Source organism: Homo sapiens, chromosome 19 (genome assembly GCF_000001405.40).
Source record: "Homo sapiens chromosome 19, GRCh38.p14 Primary Assembly".
In the NCBI taxonomy this organism is placed as follows: domain Eukaryota; kingdom Metazoa; phylum Chordata; class Mammalia; order Primates; family Hominidae; genus Homo; species Homo sapiens.
Window position 1 is genome coordinate 52,883,217 of NC_000019.10, and position 18,013 is coordinate 52,901,229.

Consider the following 18,013-nt stretch of genomic DNA (forward strand, 5'->3'; position numbering starts at 1 on the left):
CTTTTAATAGAGATGGGCTTTCACCATGTTGGCCAGGCTAGTCTCGAACTCCTGTGAACTCCTGTGATCTCGAACTCTGGTGATCCACACTTCTCGGCCTCCCAAAGTCCTGGGATTACAGGCATGAGCCACTGTGCCCAGCGGCAGTTTGTGACATTAACGAAGGGAGTGTGTCAGTTATATTGAATACCACATACCAAAAACTCATAAAAGGAAGAAAATAATAAGTCAATTTATACTGCCTGCAGAATTCTAAACAATTCCCTCTTAAGAAAAAGGCCATAACTTGTAGTTACCACCCGTACACAACATAAGAACTGAAATACATGTTAAAATCACTACCTTCTGAAGTATGAGGTGAAGAAAATACACAGAATTATAAGGAATAAGAATTGACTAATGGCCGGCCACGGTGGCACATACCTGTAATCCCAGCATTTTGGTAGGCTGAGTCGGGTGGATCATGAGGTCAGGAGTTTGAGACCAGCCTGGAACAAATGGTAAAACCCCATCTCTATTAAAAATACAAAAAAAATTAGCTGGACGTGGTGGCAGGTGCATGTAATCCCAGCTACTTGGGAATCTGAGGCAGGAATCATTTGAACCCAGGAGGCGGAGGTTGCAGTGAGCCAAGATAGTGCCACTGCACTCTAGCCTGGGCAACAAGATGAGATTCCATCTCAAAAAAAATAAAATAAGATAAATAACTACTTCTCATATAAGCTTTGGTAGATGTGGTATTCTCTAATAGGATGTTCCTGCAGATGCAGACTTTGAGAGAATTTAGTCATGGGTGTTGACTCCTCATGAATAGGACTAGTGCATTTATAGAGACATTAAAGAGCTCATTGCCTGTTCCTCTTTCTACCATATTGGGACATGGCAGGAAGATGGCTGGGCTAAACCGTGAAGAAGCCTCTCACCAGGAATCAATTTGGCTGGCACCTTGCTCTTGGATTTCCCACTTTCCAAATTCATGAGAAATAAATTTCTGTGTCTTAAGCTTCCCAGTTTAAGCTACTTCCTTTTTCGTTTATTCTTCAGATCGAGTCACGCTCTTATCACCCAGGCTAGAGTGTACTGGCAGGATTCTCCTACCTCAACTGATTCTCCCTCCTCAGCCCAGAGTCTCACTCTGTTGCCCGGGCTGGAGTGCAGTGGCGTGATCTCAGCTCCCTGCAACCTCCACCTCATGGGTTCAAGTGATTCTCCTGCCTCAGCCTCCCAAGTAGCTGGGATTATAGGCGCAAGTCACCATGCACAGCTGGTTTTTGTGGTTTTAGTAGAGATGGGGTTTTACCATATTGGCCAGGCTTGTCTTGAACTCCTGACCTCAAGTGATCAACCTGTCTCAGCCTCCCAAAGTGCTGGGATTTTAGGTGTGAGCCACTGCGCCTGGCCCATTTTTGGCATTTAGTACATTCCAGGTTTCACCATGTTGGCCAGACTGTTTTCAAACTCCTGACCTCAAGCAATCTACCCACCTTGGTCTTTGAAAGTGCTAGGATTAGAGGCATGAGCCACCGTGGCCAGTCAGTCTAAGCTATTTCTAACAGTGAAATGACAGAGAAAGGAACAGGAGCATCTCATCATCAACATCACCACAGGCTGACAAATCTTATTAAACAAAGGATGTTTAGGGTCTCTACTATAAATCTTGCAATACTTGAAGCCATCTAATAGCACTAACATGTTTTAAAAACCTTGAGACATGTAGGGCATGGTAATCCCAGCATTTTGGGAGGATGAGGTGGGAGATTCCTGAGGTCAGGAGATCAAGACCATCCCAGCTAACAAGGTAAAACCCCATCTCTGCTAAAAAAAAATACAAAAAAATTAGCCTGGCATGTTGGCACTCGCCTGTAGTCCCAGCTACTTGAGAGGCTGAGGCAGGAGAATCACTGGAATTTGGGAAGTGGAGGTTGCAGTGACCCAAGATCACACCACTGCACTTTAGCCTGGGTGAGAGACTGAGACTGTGTCTCAAAGAAAAAATAAATAAATGACAGAAGGCTAAAGAATAACTCCAACCCACAAACATATATAAAGTTCTCCAGTAAAGGTAAATAAAAAAAACGGGTAGGCTGGGCATGGTGGTTCATGCCTATAATCCCAGCACTTTGGGAGGGCAAGCCAGGCGGATCACCTGGGGTCAAGGGTTCGAGACCAGCCTGGACAACAAGGAGTAAACCCTGTCTCTACCAAAAATACAAAATTAGGCCAGGCGTGGTGGCTCATGCCTGTAATCCCAGCACTTTGGGAGGCTGAGGTGGGTGGATCACAAGGTCAGGAGATCGAGACCATCCTGGCTAACACAGTGAAACCCCGTCTGAACTAAAAATACCAAAAATTAGCCAGGCATAGTGGCCAGCACCTGTAGTCCCAGCTACTCAGGAGGCTGAGGCAGGAGAACTGCTTGAACCTGGGAGGTGGAGGTTGCAGTGAGCTGAGATTGCACCATTGCACTCCAGCCTGGGAAACAGGAGTGAAACTCTGTCTCAAAAAAATAAATAAATAAATAAAACAATAAAAATACAAAATTAGCTGGGTGTGGTGGCGCATGCCTGTAATCCCAGCTACTCGACAGGCTGAGGCAGGAGAATTGGTTGAACCGGGGAGGTGGAGGTTGTGGTGTCAAGATTGCAGCACTGCACTTCAGCCTGGGTGACAAGAGCAAAACTCTGTCTCATAAATACATAAATTAATTAATTAATAAAAGGACAGATACAGAAACTCGCATACGTATACCTTTTCTTCATAACTAAACTTTTTTTCATATTATTAAAAATGAAAATGTATGAAAAAACACTGTACATATATGTTAACAGAAATGCAACATACACAAAAATAACTCTGACAAAAATAAAAAAGTTCTACTGGAGAAGAAGTAGTTTTTGTAGGTTATGGAATTTTTTTATTTTTATTTTTATTTTTTTGACATGGAGTCTCACTCTGTCTCCCAGGCTGGAGTGCAATGGTGCGATCTTGGCTCACTGCAACCTCCACCTCCCAGGTTCAAGTGACTCTCCTGCCTGAGCCTCCTGAGTAGCTGGGATTACAGCTGCCCACCACTGTGCCTGGCTAATTTTTGTAAATTTAGTACAGATGAAGTTTCATCATGCTACCCAGGCTGGTTCTGAACTCCTGACCTCAGGCGATCTGCCCACCTCGGCATCCCAGTGCTGGAATAACAGGTGTCAGCCACTGCACCTGGCCAGGTTATGGAAATTTTAAGCTTCATTATTGTGCTATAAGTTTAAGATGTTTAACATACCTGCAACAATAACCTCTCCCCATATATCAATACAACGCACTTCACTTCTGCGTACTGAACGGAATGGACACTAATGTGGTTGTTATATTCACACTGGAATCATGTTTAAACCACTTATGTTTACTAAGAACTAAAAGACAAAACTATTTAAAAGAATAACCATGGTTGGGCATGGCAGCTCGCGCCTGTAATCCCAGCATTTTGGGAAGCCGAAGCAGGTGAATCACTTGAGATAAGGAGTTTGAGACCAGCCTGAACAACATGGTGAAACCCCATCTCTACTAAAAACACAAAGTGAGCTGGGCATGGTGGTGAGCGCCTGCAGTCCCAGCCTCCAAGAAAGGTGGGGCACAAGAATCCTTTGAGCCTGAAAGGCAGAGGCTGCAGTTAGCCAAGATCGTTCCACTGCACTGTAGCCTGGATGAAAGAGTGAAACTATCAAAAGAAAAAGAAAGAAAAGAAGAAAGAAAGAAAGAAAAGAAAGAAAGAAGGAAGGAAGGAAGGAAGGAAGGAAGGAAAAGAAAAAACAAAACAAAAGAAAAGAAAAGAAGTAAATAAGGAAAGAGCAGAGGGATAAGTGAGGGCAAAGAAAGATGTCCCTTCAGAGATCTCAGGATTGAAACTTTTCTTTTGCCACAGAATTCTCCCACTTGCAGAGAGTTTCCCCACACACTATTTGAAGGTGGAGCTTCCACTCTGCCCATCTGAGCTCTTACCTGCGTTTACACCTGTAATACATTCCCACCCATCTGGAGTTTTTTGTTATTTTCACTTAACTCTCCACAGTCCAGGGCTCTTTCCCTTGCTCCAACATGGAGATAACAGGTCAGAAAGAGACTCGTGCTTATAAAAAGAAAGGACCATGATGTGCTGGAGCTTTTCTAGAGTCCCAGCCCTATATTTCTGTAGGAAAGAAGACATTACAGGTGGATCTAGGAAAATATTTCACAAATTCCTCCACTGACTGCCTCATTCTGAATGCTGTTGGAGCACTGTAATATGTAATATGTGGACATCGGGCTATCTTCCAAGAACTAATGAGTTGAAAGCACAGGAGAAGCAAACAGGGAACTGGATATGTTTAAAGTCTACCATAAGGTTTTGTTTTTGTTTTTTGAGACAGTCTTGCTCTGTCGTCTGGGCTGGAGTGCAGCGGTGTGTTCTCGGCTCACTGCAACCTTGGCCTCCTGGGTTCAAGCAATTCTCTCTCCTCAGCCTTTCTAGGAGCTGGGATTGCAGGTGTGCACCATGACGTCCGGCTAATTTTTGTATTTTTAGTAGAGACAGGGTTTCACCATGTTGGCCAGGCTGGTCTCAAACTCCTGACCTGAAGTGATCCACACACCTCAGTCTCCCAAGGTTCTGGGATGACAGGCATGAACCACCATGCCCAGCTTGCCATAAGGTTTTATGCCTACTTTAGTTCTGGAACCCACATTGAGGTATCATGAAGAACGCAGAACATCTAAACAAAGGGGACAGTGAAAGTCCAGATGCTACATCATGAAGCTTTTCATTTCAAAATCAATACAGCTTCCATTTTAGTCAAGCAAGGATGCAACTCCCAAGAGAAACAAGAGAAAATACAAAGATCCACAAGGGCACATCCCCACTTCTGGAGGGAAGTTATCCTCACCCAGGGAGACCAGGTTCCTATAATTCTCCAGCATCACGTCTCTGTATAGAGTCCTCTGAGCAGGGTCCAGGCATTTCCACTCCTCCTGAGAGAATTCTATGGCCACATCCCTGAATGTCAGTAGACCCTGAAAGGAAAACACATTTTAAGCAAATGGTTATGGGAGGAGATCTTATCTTTACAGAAAATGAGAAGAGGAGAGGGGAAAGCATGGATTTAATTGCAGAGAATGTTCCGACAAATCCAAGTAAGGGATTCTTCACCACATGATGTCTTCCCAGTGGTGTTTGATTATACTTTCTGAAGAGCTCAGGATACCCTCTCAGTATGAATTGCTTACGTTAGAAATAAATAATTAGCCGGGTATGGTGGCAGGCATCTGTTGTCCCAACTACTTGGAAGGCTGAGGTGGGAGGACGGCTTGACCTTGATGGTGGAGGTTTCAGTGAGCTGCGATTGCACCAAGGCATTCTAGCCTGGGCAACAAAGCAAGACTCTCTCTCAAAATAAAATAAAATACATGAAAGTAAAATTACACAAAGCACAAAAATCCATTTTGTAAATGTTCACAAAATAATAAAACCTACACAGACTGAAAAAAAACTAGATGTTAATACAAAGGGTTGTCATTTGTCCCAGATTTTCAAAATATAAAAGATTTTCAAAATATATACGTGTGTGTACATATGTATGTATGTATAAATGTGTGTGTATGTGTGTGGGGATGTGTATGCATATACATATATAGGTTTTACAAATATAAAAAGTAGCAAGTTTTGCAGGGCGCAGTGGCTCACGTCTGTAATCCCAACACTTTGGGAGGCTGAGGCGGGTGGATCATGAGGTCAGCAGTTTGAGACTAGCCTGGCCAACATGGTGAAACCACATCTTAACTAAAAATACAAAAATTAGCTGGGCGTGGTGGCACGCACATGGAGTCCCAGCTACTGGGGAAGCTGAGGCAGGAGAATTACTTGAACCTGGGCGGCGGAGTTTGCAGTGAGCCGAGAAATCGCCATTGCACTCCAGCCTGGTGACAGAGTGACACTCCGTCTCAAAAAAAAAAGAAAAAAAAAGTAGCAAGTTTTGTTTAACTGAAGAGGAATCTCATCTTGCTGGAAAAGGATACTTTGGCAGCTGCTGGTGGGTGGAATCTCATCAGATCTAGGGAAACAGGAAATGCCCCATCCTAGATGAATCAATTACCCTTTTAACTGCCTGGCCTGGAGGACAGAGAATGGCTTGAATTCGGGAGGCAGAGGGTGCAGTAAGCCAAGATCATGCCACTGTACTCCAGCGTGGGTGACAGAGCAAGACTCCATTTCAGAAAAAATAATAATAATAGTTATAGGTGGAATAAGAATATGGCTTTATCCTCTAGGATAAAAAAGAAGTACCGCTGCCATATTTGAGAAAAATTGTAACCAGTTTTACCACAAACACCTGTTTCACAAGCCTCTCCACAGGAACCCCACAGTCTCCATGAGCGTAATGTGCTAAGAATGGTCTAACGAATCTCCTGCTATTATTTAGGTTGATTTCCTATTCTTAAAATAATGATAGGATCATTCTTGTATCATTCATATCTATGTATGAAGTTTCCATTCTAATTAGTAAGATTTTTTGAGTCAGAAACACAGTAAGTCACTCAATTACCTAAAAATGTACTATAATGTCAGGCAGAAAAGATTTCCTATTATTGGTCTCTCTTTCTAGAATTTACCATGCACTTTGTGCACATTAATATGTGACTTCCATTGGCAGCTGCTCTAATCCTGGTCCACGGAGAGCTGACAGAGCATCCAGATGTGGCCCCTGAACAATCCCTGCTACCCAACAGCACTGACACCATGGGACCCTCACCCCGTCTCCATCCATGTCTGGGTGTGAGTCCTTCCCAGGACCATGCCCAGTGCAGCCTCTTCCCAACTTCATGTCACTTGGTCACAGGAGATAAAATCTAAGTGAGATAAGAGGGACTGAGGGAAGGCATGGGTGATTGTGAGCAAACCTGTCAGGCAGGATGCTTCAGACTAAGAGAAGATTCCCAACTCCAGGCGCCAGCATTTCTGAAAGGAAGGAGACAGAACAATCCACCGAGAATATCATCTCACCTGAGAAAGAGCCATCCCCGACTCCTTTGCTTTCCTCTTCCTCTTCTGGGTTTCTTCCTCAGGTACCAAGAGTCTTTAGAAGTCAATCCTAAATGTTAGAAATATGTTGTTTATCACTGAGAATCAACACACCCCCTCCCCATAACACAATGACACATACAAAGGAGGCCTCACCCTGGGAAATATGGTCCCCTCTGCTGCCCACTGCCCCAGGGATGATAAACTCCTACAGGAAAACTCCCACTACCCTACTGGAGGAGTCCACACACACGCTGCAGCAGTGGGGAGCTGGGCTGGGATGAGCTCCCCTTCAGGGCACAGACTCAGACCTAACCAAACCCCACACAGAGGCTGGGTGTGGTGGCTCATGCCTGTCACCCCAGCACTCTAGGAGGCCGAGGTGGGTAGATCGCTTGAGCTCAGGAGTTTGTGACTAGCCTAGGCAACATGGTGAAACCCCATCTCTACAAAAATACAAAAAGTTAGGAAGGTATGGTGGTGCACTTCTGTGTGTCTGTGGTCCCAGCTACTTAGGGAGCTGAGATGAGAGGATCACTTGTGCTCAAGAGTTCGAGACCAGCCTGGCCAACATGGTGAAACCCTGTCCCTACTAAAAATACAAAAATTGGGCCGGGCGCGGTGGCTCATGCCTGTAATACTAGCACTCTGGAAGGCCGAGGTGGGTGGATTACTTGAGGTCAGGAGTTCTAGACCAGCCTGGCCAACATGGTGAAACCCTGTCTCTTACTAAAAATACAAAAAGTAGCTGGGCTTGGTGGGCATCTGTAATCCCAGCTACTCGGGAAGCTGAGGTTGGAGGATCACTTGAACCTGGGAAGTGGAGGTTGCAATGGGCCGAGATCGTGCAACTACACTCCAGCCTGGGTGACAGAGTAAGACTTAAAAATAAAACAAAACAAAATAAAATAAAATAAAACAAAACTACAAATACAAAAATTAGCCAGGTATGGTGGCGGGTGGCACGCACCTGTATCTCAGCTACTTGGTAGGCTGAGGCACAAGAATCACTTGAACCCAGGAGACAGAGGTTGCAGTGAGCCAAGATCAGGAGACTGCACTCACAGCCTGAAGGACAGAGTGAGACTCTGTTTGAGGAAGAGAAAAAAAAAAGCGTTTCTGATGTGATAGAGATAATAAAACCTGAGTAACATGATAGAGATTGATGGGCAGAGGGAATTTCAGATGGGGGTGGGAGGGCATGGGAGACAGCTCTGAGCCTAGACCTGAAGGAGCAGAAAGGGAGATGGCTGTGATCATTTAGGGACATAGGGTAAGAACGGGGAAAATGACCTGAGACAGGAAGGGTTTTGATGTTTGGGGAAAGAGATAAGCAAATGTGACTGGGGCGGAGGGAGTCATTAGATTAGGGCAAGCTCCCAGGAGGAGGCTGGACACTGGCAGGGGCCCTGGACACAGGGCTGTGGAGCCACACTGATGAGTTGGGCTTTTGTCCTGGGGAACACGGGAAGCTGGTGGAGGGTTCCCTGCCAGGGACTGATGTGACCTGCTTTACATTTAGCTGTGATATCCTCAGAGTGGGGACATATTCACCGAGTTACCCTGAGAAGGTCTGAGATGAGTGAGAAGGTGTGTCTGAATTCTTACATGGGGGCCCAGAAGGGCTAATGGAAAGGGTTGGTCTTATCACCTCTCTTTGAAAATTAGAGAAGCATCTTTCACATACCTGGGCTAAAGAAACTTCTTTTGCAACGTTCTGATGCTATTGACTTTCAACATTTAATTCTTCTTACAAGAAAATTATAGTAACATATATAAAATGCAGAAGTGAAAACACACAGCTACTGACCTTGAAAACAGGGAGGCCAGGCAGGGTGGCTGAGGCCTGTAATCACAGCACTTTGGGAGGCCAAGGCAGGCAGATCACCTGAGGTCAGGAGTTCGAGACCAGCCTGAGCAATATGGAGAAACCCCCGTCTCTACTAAAAATACAAAAATTATCTAGGCATGGTGGCTCATGGTTGTAATCCCAGCTACTCAGGAAGGTTGAGGCAGGAGAATCACTTGAACCCGGAGGCGGAGGTTGCGGTGAGCTGAGATTGCACCATTGCACTCCAGCCTGGGCAACAAGAGTGAAACTGTGTCTCAAAAAAACAAACAAACGAACAAACAAAAAAAGAAAATAGGGAAAGAGGGTCAGCTGTAGAACTACTATATAAGCAAATGTTTTCAATCAAGAAAACATGGGTGGCCAGATACAGTGGCTCATGCCTGTAATCCCAGCACTTTGGGAGGTCAAGGCAGGTGGATCACCTGAGGTCAGGAGTTCGAGACCAACCTGGCAAACACAGTGAAACCCTGTCTCTACTAAAAATACAAAAATTAGCCAGGCTCCATCTCCACAACTCATTTAATCTCTTGCTGCTCCTTCTCCCCAATCTTTAGATCATCCTCAATCTCTATAGATTTCCACCTCTTCTCCCATCTCTGTGCATCCTCTGCTCTCCCTGTTAAATTGTCTCTTCCTTGTTATACCTCCCTGGCCCCACTCTCTGGCACCCCAGATCCCCAGGTGTCCTCCCTGCTGTGCTTCTCCCTCTGTTCTCCTTGCCACCAGCACCACTCTGCTCTGTCTGCCCTGGCTCCAAATCCCTCCTCCTCTCCCTCACTCTGATGAGACTCCCTCTTTGCTGTCCCTCTCCCTACCTTGCTGTCCTTCATCTCTCTGTACATCTAGCTTTTCTCTACATTTCTCCAGTTGCTTTTCTCCTCCTGCTTTCTTATTTTTTTTTTCACTTTTGCTGTCTCTTGGCAAATCCCTCACCCATCTTCTACTTTGCCATCTGTTATGGGCCTTTCTCATTCTTCTTTTCTCTGTCTCAGGTTTTTTACTGCTCTCTCTCTGTCTCCTGATCCCTTTGGCCCACACAATCACAGGAGGGTTTGGACACCTTCATGTCAGAGGAGCCCATTTTCCAGGGGCTGGCACTGGGCAGGGAAGAACACCTTGTGTCACCATATAGGCCCCAGGCACCTCCCCAATGCGGGCCTGGGCAACAGAGCAAGACTTTCTCAAAATAATAATAATAACAATAATAATTATGTATATATATTGCAAATGCTGTGTTTTCTACGTAAACCATGGGCTTGGCCACACGCATTACCTCATGCCTGTAATCCCAGCACTTTGGGAGGGTGAGGCGGTGGATCATGAGATCAAGAGGTTGAGACAATTTTGGCCAGCGTGGTGAAACCCGCTCTCTACTACAAGTACAAAATTAGCTGGGCTTCTCGGCACGCCCCTGTTGTCCCAGCTACTTGGGAGACTGAGGCAAAAGAATCACTTGAACTCGGGAGTCAGAAGTTGCAGTGAGCTGAGATGGCACCAGTGCACTCCAGCCTGTCGACAAAGTGAGACTCTGTCTCAAAAAAAAATCATGGGCTTATCCATTAATGCACTTCTGCACATACTTCAAATTACATCCACACACACTTAAATTAACTTGCGTTCAGAAGGTATAAGCAAAAACCTGGAGAGGACACAACCAAAGCTACTCACCAGGCTGAGGTGGGAGAATTGCTTGAGCCCGGAGAGCAGAGGTTGAAGTGAATCAAGATCGCACAACTGCCCTCCAGCCTGGGGGACACAGCGAAACTCCATCACCTCCACCCCCCAAAAAGTTGGAAGCTCACTGAATTAAGATACAACTTCAAGAAATCATAAAAGCAATGCATGAAGAACATGAGAAGGACAACCAACATACAGAAATTATGACGAACTACACAGAAACTCTCGGGATAAAAATACAGTAACTAAATGGAAAAACTCAATACATGGGTTCAAAATCAGAATTCATTATGTAAATTAAAAACTAGTGAAGAGGGGTCAGGCAAGGTGGCTCACACCTGTAATCCCAGGACTCTGGGAGGCCGAGGTGGGTGGATCACTTGAGGTCGAGTTCAGAGAACAGTCTGGCCAATATGGTGAAACCTTGTCTCTACTAAAAATACAAAGATTAGCTGGGTGTGGTGGCTGGCTCCTGTAGTCCCAGGTACTCTGGAGGCTGAGTCAAGAGAAGCACTTGAACATGGAAGGCAGAGGTTGCAGTGAGCCGGATTGCCCCACTGTACTCCAGCCTGGGTGACAGAGCAAGACTGTCTCAAAAAAAAAAAAAAAACCAAAAAACAAAGAAAGAAAATTCCAGGACTATCTTTTATACACCTGAGCAAAAGGAATGTCTCTCTCCATGTCTAAGGTTCTGATGGCATGAATCCTAAACATGTAATTATTTTCCCAGAAATATGACAGTAATACGTTCAAAATAAACACAAGTGTGAACACATAGCTATAGGTGTTTAAAACACTGAAAGAGGCCAGGCGCGGTGGCTCACGCCTGTAATCCTAGCACTTTGGGAGGCCGAGGCAGGTGGATCACGAGCTCAGGAGATTGAGACCATCCTGGTCCACATGGTAAAACCCGGTTTCTACTAAAAATACAAAAATTAGCCTGGCATGGTGGTGTGTGCCTGTAATCCCAGCTACTCGGGAGGCTGAGACAGGAAAATCATTGGAACCCGGGAGGCAGAGGTTGCAGTGAGCCAAGATCACACCACTGCACTCCAGCCTGGGTGACAGAGTGAGACTCCTTCTCAAACAAAACAAAACAAAACAAAAACCAAAACAACAACAACAACAAAAAACACTGAAAGAGAGGCAATGGTAGTCATAAGCTGTAAGCAAATGTTTTCTTCATGAACACATGGGCTCTGCTGGAACAAGGTTCCAAAACAATCCAGCCCATCGTTCAACATCTGCAAGGAATATTATGAACCAGAGGAACTTGAGGGAGACATTTACTTAGAAGCTCACAGCTCACCATTTTATCAGATGACATAAGGAAAGAAAATAGAATAGGCTACTTGAACCAAATTTTGATGTTAGCGTAAAGAAGAAAGGTCCTGGGGCCGGGCGTGGTGGCTCACACCTTAAATCCCAGCACTTTGGGAGGCCGAGGTGGGTGGATCACCTGAGGTTGGGAGTTTGAGACCAGCCTGACAAACATGGAGAAACCCCATCTCCACTAGAAATACAAAATTAGCTTGGCGCAGTGGCACATGCCTGTAATCCCGGCTACTGGGGAGGCTGAGGCAGGAGATCACTTGAACCCAGGAGGCGGAGGTTGTGGTGAGCCAAGATCGCGCCATTGCACTCCAGCCTGGGCAATAAGAGCAAAACTCCATCTCAAAACAAACAAACAAAATAGGTCCTTGATATCTTTATAAAGTACACATTGAAACAACCTAAAATTGGCCAGGCACGGTGGCTCACACCTGTAATCCCAGCACTTTCTGAGGCTGAGGTGGGCGGATCACCTGAGGTCAGGAGTTCAAGACCAGCCTGGCCAACATGGTGAAACCCCGTCTCCATTAGAAATACAAAAATTAGCCAGGCGTGGTGGCAGGCGCCTGTAATCCCAGCTACTTGGGGGCTGAGGCAGGAGAAGAGCTTGAACCCAAAAGACGGAGGTTGCAGTGAGCCGAGATCGTGCCATCACACTCCAGCCTGGGGGTAGAAGGGAGACTTTGTCTCAAAAAAAAGTAAGAAAGAAAAAAAGAAACAACCTAAAATCATTTATCAGGTACTAGTAAATGCTTCCAATATATGATACAGACTAGAAAGCATGCAGTCTTCTATGTAAACTGAACACAACAAATTTCATAGAGAAACTTTTAAAATGGTTAAAAATATATACATCTAAAAATGTATATATCTAATAAAATGTAGGGTCAAAGAAGAAAATTTTGAACTCATATCATAGTTGGAAAACAATGATGTGAGCTCATAAGATTCTACCAAAGCTTATTTGAAAAGTAGTTATCTTACTTTTTTCAGACGGAGTCTCGCTCTGTCACCCCAGGCTGGAGTGCAGTGGCATGATCTCAGCTCACTGCAACCTCCCCCTCCCTGTCCAAGGGATTCTGCTGCCTCAGCCTCCTGAGTAGCTGGGATTACAGGCGCCCGACATCACACCTGGCTAATTTCTGTATTTTATTCGACACGAGATTTCGCCATGTTGACTAGGCTGGTCTCGAACTCCTGACCTCAGGTGATCTGCCCGCCTTGGCCTCCCAAAGTGCTGGGATTACAGGCATGAGCCATTGCACACGGCCTTTATTTTTATTTATTTATTTTTTAATTAAGAAACAAGGCGGGCATGGTGGCTCATGCCTGTAATTCCAGCATTTTGGGAGGGCGATACAGCTGGATCGCTTGAGCCCTGGAGTTGGAGACCAGCCTGAGCAACAAGGCAAAAGCCCGTCTCTACCAAGTACACAAAAATTAGCGCGGTGTGGTGGCGCGCGGCTGTGGTCCCAGCTACTCTGCAGGCTGAGGTGACAGGATCGCTTGAGCATAGGATGTTGATGATGCAGTGAGCTGTGATCCTGTCACCGCTCTCCCGCCTGGGCAACAGAGTGAGACCCCATCTCCAATAAAAAAGAATAAAAAAGAAATACCTGGGTCCTGGGTCTGGGGGCAGCGAATCTAAGGCCAATTAAGGCAAACTTTCTAAAACTAGACAAAAAGGAAAAACCCCATCTCCCCATCCGGAGTAACAAAGGATCAAAGGCCGCTGTCCCTACCGCCCTCCTCCTTCCACCACGTCTCAGAAAGGGAAAGAGCCCAGGAGTGGCCATGGCCAAGCACCGGCCACACCTTCATCTGCATAGGGCACCCATCTGCTCCGGCCTCGGGCCAATTCACCTCAGCATTTCGTTGGCCAAGGGCCAAAAATCCTTCATCCAGATAAGGGGTAGCCCATAGGGACCTCAAAATAAATACTTTAACCCCCTAAAACTTTCTAAACGGGTCCCCGGAGACGCTGGCTCGGGCCCACTCCCCTCTGTGGAGTGCTTTCTTGATTGCATATATTCGTTTTCCAGGAGTTGGAACTAGGTAGCAACACCGCACAAGGAGGGAGGTGGGGAGCGACGGAGCCTTCGGACAGGGGTGGCGTCTGCAGGATCTTAGGACCAGGCAGAGGACGCGGCCTCCCGGGAACCGGGGTTGAGGCGCGGCGCTCCTGAAGCCGCCGAGAGCGACGGTGGGAGGCGCCTAGGGCTGGAATCCAGCTCGCGGGTGAGGACTTGAAACAGCGCGAGGCGGGAGGACAGGTCAGGAAGGGTTTTGAGAAGGAAAATTCCGCGATAGGAGGTGTCTGCACGACCCCACTGCAGAAAGACCGAGGACGGGACCTGCCTCAGGGCCACTTTAAACTCGAAGGGACTCACGGACTCTCACCCGGACGTCTCAATTTGCTCTGGGTTGAGAAAGAGGGGCCGCAATTTCCAGGTCTGTGGGGACTCAACGTCCCCGGTATAGCAGCACCACAGGACTGGGAAGCACACATAAAACAGAGCGAAACTCACGCGCTGTGGTGTGACCTTCAGTCCCTGCCATCCGCTTCCGGGTCTATGCCAATCAGCGCAGGACAGAGGCCAGGCCTGGGCGGGACCCCCGAGAAGGTAGGCGGGGCCTGGACTAGGCCGGGATGAGACGCGAAGAGGTGGGCGGGGCCTGAACAAGGCCGGGGCGGGGTTGAGAAACAAGGGGCCTGGCTGGGAGAAGAGTCCTGGGCTATGAGGGGTCGGCGGGGGCGAGAAGCGGGTGGGTCCTGAGCTTTCCTCCATCTCGCTCTCTGCGCCTTTTTTCCAGGTTTTGGAGGCGAAAGCCGCCAGTGAGGCTGGAGCAGCTCAGCAGTCATTGAAATAGTACCTCCCTGAGAAGTCAACGTGAGGCGGTCATTGGACCCAGGAAAGTTCCTTGCTATTGAAATTAATTTTAGCAATTTATGTCCAAAATCTGGAAGTTGTCAAGGGAAGGAATGCAAACTAGAATGCGAAATACAAAGCTCTGCCTCAGCGAAACCTCCAATTTCCTGCTGACGGCCCACAGAACAGAATAGCAAATCCTCTCCCTTTCTATTTTCCATTCACTGGGGTGGGAGAATCCACCCTGTGCTCAGCTCCAGAGACTTCCTCAGGGCCACCGCCTGGGGTGCGGAGCGGAGGCCTCAGGCCAGGGAGGAGTGAGGTCACCACCTCCTGCTTAAACACAGCAGGGATGTGGGCGAGGTGGCGAGTCTGGGGTCCCGGCTACTCAGGAAGCAGGAGCCGCAAGACCGCTGAGCCCGGAGGTCCAGGCCAGCGTGGGCGACAAAGTAAGACCCTCTACCCCAGAGCTCCTTCCTCCGCCTCAATAAGAAAAAAAGGGATTTTTAAAAAAAGCATTGACATTGTAACAGTGTGTAGCAGGGCTAGCGGCAGACAAAACTTCTCAGACACTGAGTTGTAGAAGGAAGGGCTTTATTCAGCTGGGAGCGTCAGCAATCTACTGCCTTGAAATCCGAGCTCCCTGAATGCACAATTTCTGTCCTTTTTAAGGGTTCACAACACTAAAGATTTCACATGAAAGGGTCGTGATTGATTTGAGCGAGCAGGCGGTACGTGACAGGGGATGCATGCACCGGTGGTCAGAGAGAAACAGAACAGAGCGGGGAGTTTTACAATGTTCTTCTATACAATGTCTGGAATCTATGAATAACATTGGGTTCTAAGCCATAAGTTGATTTTTAACTACTGGGTTTAGGCCAGGCAGGCCCAGGCCTGGTTTCGGGCCTGGCCCCGGGGCTGCCTGTCTTTGGTTTTACTTTCTTGTTGTTTTTTCTTAAAACAGGTACTGAGTATAAAACAATATGAGAGGGTCTCTGTCTTCCTTTATTTCTTCTTTTTGAGAGTCTCACTTTTTATTAGTGGGAGTTCTTACTCTTGTTTTTGCTACTTATGTCTTTTTGTGTAATAGATTGATAGTGATTCATATAGTACACTTGTGCTGAATCATTTTGGTGAACTAAGGTAGCGATGAAGCTTTTTATCATTTGAAGAGGTACAGGTAGCAAACAAGAGAGCAGTAAGCAGCTTTTTATTACTATTATAACTCTTATTATAAGAGTTTTAAATCCTCCTATTGCTGGGAACTAATTTTTAAACATGGCTCCTGGATTGAGTCCGTGCCACACCTGTACGGGTACATGTGTCAGTTTTGTTATATTTTTAACTATGTCTTCAACTACTTTCCTCTGATGATCTATGTGTAGACAACAATTAGTAAGGTTAAATTTTCTACAAACTTTTCCTTCAGCTGCTAGCAAGTAGTCGAGAGCTAGTCTATTTTGATAGATAGCATTTCTTTTTCTTTTTTTGGTGATGGAGTCTCGCTCTGTCACCCAGGCTGGAGTGCAGTGGTGCAGTCTCAGCTCACTGCAAGCTCCACCTCCCGGGTTCACGCCATTCTCCTGCCTCAGCCTCCCTAGTAGCTGGGACTACAGGTGCTGCCACCGCACCCGGCTAATTTTTTGTATTTTTAGTAGAGACGGGGTTTCACTGTGTTAGCCAGGATGGTCTTGATCTCCTGACTTTGTGATCTGCCCGCCTCAGTCTCCCAAAGTGCTGGGATTACAGGCGTGAGCCACCGCGCCCGGTGATAGATAGCATTTCTTATCAGAGTCTCTTGCCGGGCAAGAACAGTCAAGGCTTGACCGGTTTTATTAGTAATAATTTTTAAAACAGCTTGCAACTGTATGATTCGGTTGAGCATGTAGATGGGGGTTCGATAACCTCATGAGCTGTCTTGTGTCTAAGTGGCAGGCTTACAGTATTATATAATTCTTTAGGAGGTCATTTATCATCTTTCTAATTACCTATGGCTATGCTTCGTTTTTCACAGGAAGCATAGACTGGGAAGCCTAGAAGTTCACCTGTATTTATGGGCAGTAAGAGGAAAGATGGCTTACTGGTGCCAATTACACAGCTACCTGTCCACTGATCAGGCAGCTTAGCATGAGCTCTGTCTATGTATCTGGTATAACCTGGTGGGGGCCGTCTAGTCCTGGTGGAATTCCGGGTGGGCCTCAACAGTCTGCAACTTTGGAAATTTACTGAATGGATTTCTTTTTGTGTAACTGGAACTTTAGTATGTAACTGTTTTTGTGGTACTATTATACAACTTTTGCCTAAGACAACTAAGCCGCCTTACAGGATGATGAGTGAATTTTTTTCTTTCTCTAGCTATGCAATACCGTCTAATAATTGAGACTTTTAGAACTTAAAAATTGTCAGGGTGGTTCTTTTGGGCTGGGAATTCATCAGGAACTGGGTTTGTAGGAACTAATTCTCGGGCTTCCTATGGCCATTGATCTCTTGTTACAGTTCTTCTACAAACATAACATGAGGTGACTTGTAGAGACTGGGCCTCATGTTAGGCTAATTGCAAAAACAAATTTTTAGTTTTTCCTGGAATCTTAGGTACTGGCACATTTATTTCATCATAGAAAGCCTGAAATACTGGTTCTGGAGAGCATTTTTCAACTTCTTTTTTTATTAGGATGTTTACGCTAGGATCTAGTTTTTTTTCATCAATGCTTAATTTACATTTTTTTTTTAATTGTACTTTGGGTCTGATGGGTTTGTGATTATCAATTTTAAAAGGCTGCAGCCCCCACTCATGCAAGAGGGGCTGACTTTTCTTTTTTGGAGCTAAACAGGATTATTTTTATCTTCTTTTTAAGTAGCCCAAATGACATAAGACTAGTATTGACACATCTCACATAAATATGATTCTTGACAGATATACTTATTTTTTTTTTTAACTGTGTAACTTTTTTTCTAATTTAGAGAACTGCATCTTATTCTATGCTGCTTACTATCAATAGTGGCACAAGCATCAAATTTTAAGGTTATATTTTTGGGGACCCCTCTTCTGTTCTAGCTATTATTTTACTTGTGTCACTTAGAAAAAGACTAGTCTTTAATTTTATTTTAAAAACTGTAATCATGGGAGGCTTAAAATGGGTTATAACACACATCAGGTTGGTTATTCCTTGGGCTACATACTTTGGATAGAATAGCATTATACAAACAAATTTCTTTTAGAATCCTGGTACACTTATAATA

At 45.7% G+C, this 18,013-nt stretch overlaps 1 protein-coding gene across 28 annotated transcripts in view, besides 2 other annotated features; it reads right to left on the bottom strand.

Annotated features, from left to right (window-relative positions):
• ZNF320 (zinc finger protein 320) overlaps window positions 1–18,013 on the bottom strand; it is a 44,830-nt gene that overhangs the window by 23,726 nt on the left and 3,091 nt on the right. For 4 of the 28 annotated variants that reach the window (XR_002958275.2, XM_047438310.1, NM_001387571.1 and 1 more), the window contains exons 1-4: window positions 14,304–14,419; window positions 8,013–8,130; window positions 7,025–7,112; window positions 4,911–5,037 (exon numbers count right to left, since the gene is read on the bottom strand). Coding sequence is in view for 27 of the 28 variants with exons in the window: in XM_047438310.1 (XP_047294266.1) it covers window positions 4,911–5,037; window positions 7,025–7,039 (142 nt within the window). In the remaining variant the exon portion in view is untranslated. The other 24 variants (XM_024451397.2, NM_001351777.2, NM_207333.4 and 21 more) reach the window with 21 other exon arrangements.
• Window positions 13,954–14,153: an enhancer, noted in NCBI's record as "active region_15058". NCBI's record gives its function as "activates an Ori minimal core promoter by ATAC-STARR-seq in GM12878 lymphoblastoid cells {active_cell/tissue: GM12878}" and the evidence as "EXISTENCE:reporter gene assay evidence [ECO:0000049][PMID:35858748]".
• Window positions 14,354–14,433: an enhancer, noted in NCBI's record as "active region_15059". NCBI's record gives its function as "activates an Ori minimal core promoter by ATAC-STARR-seq in GM12878 lymphoblastoid cells {active_cell/tissue: GM12878}" and the evidence as "EXISTENCE:reporter gene assay evidence [ECO:0000049][PMID:35858748]".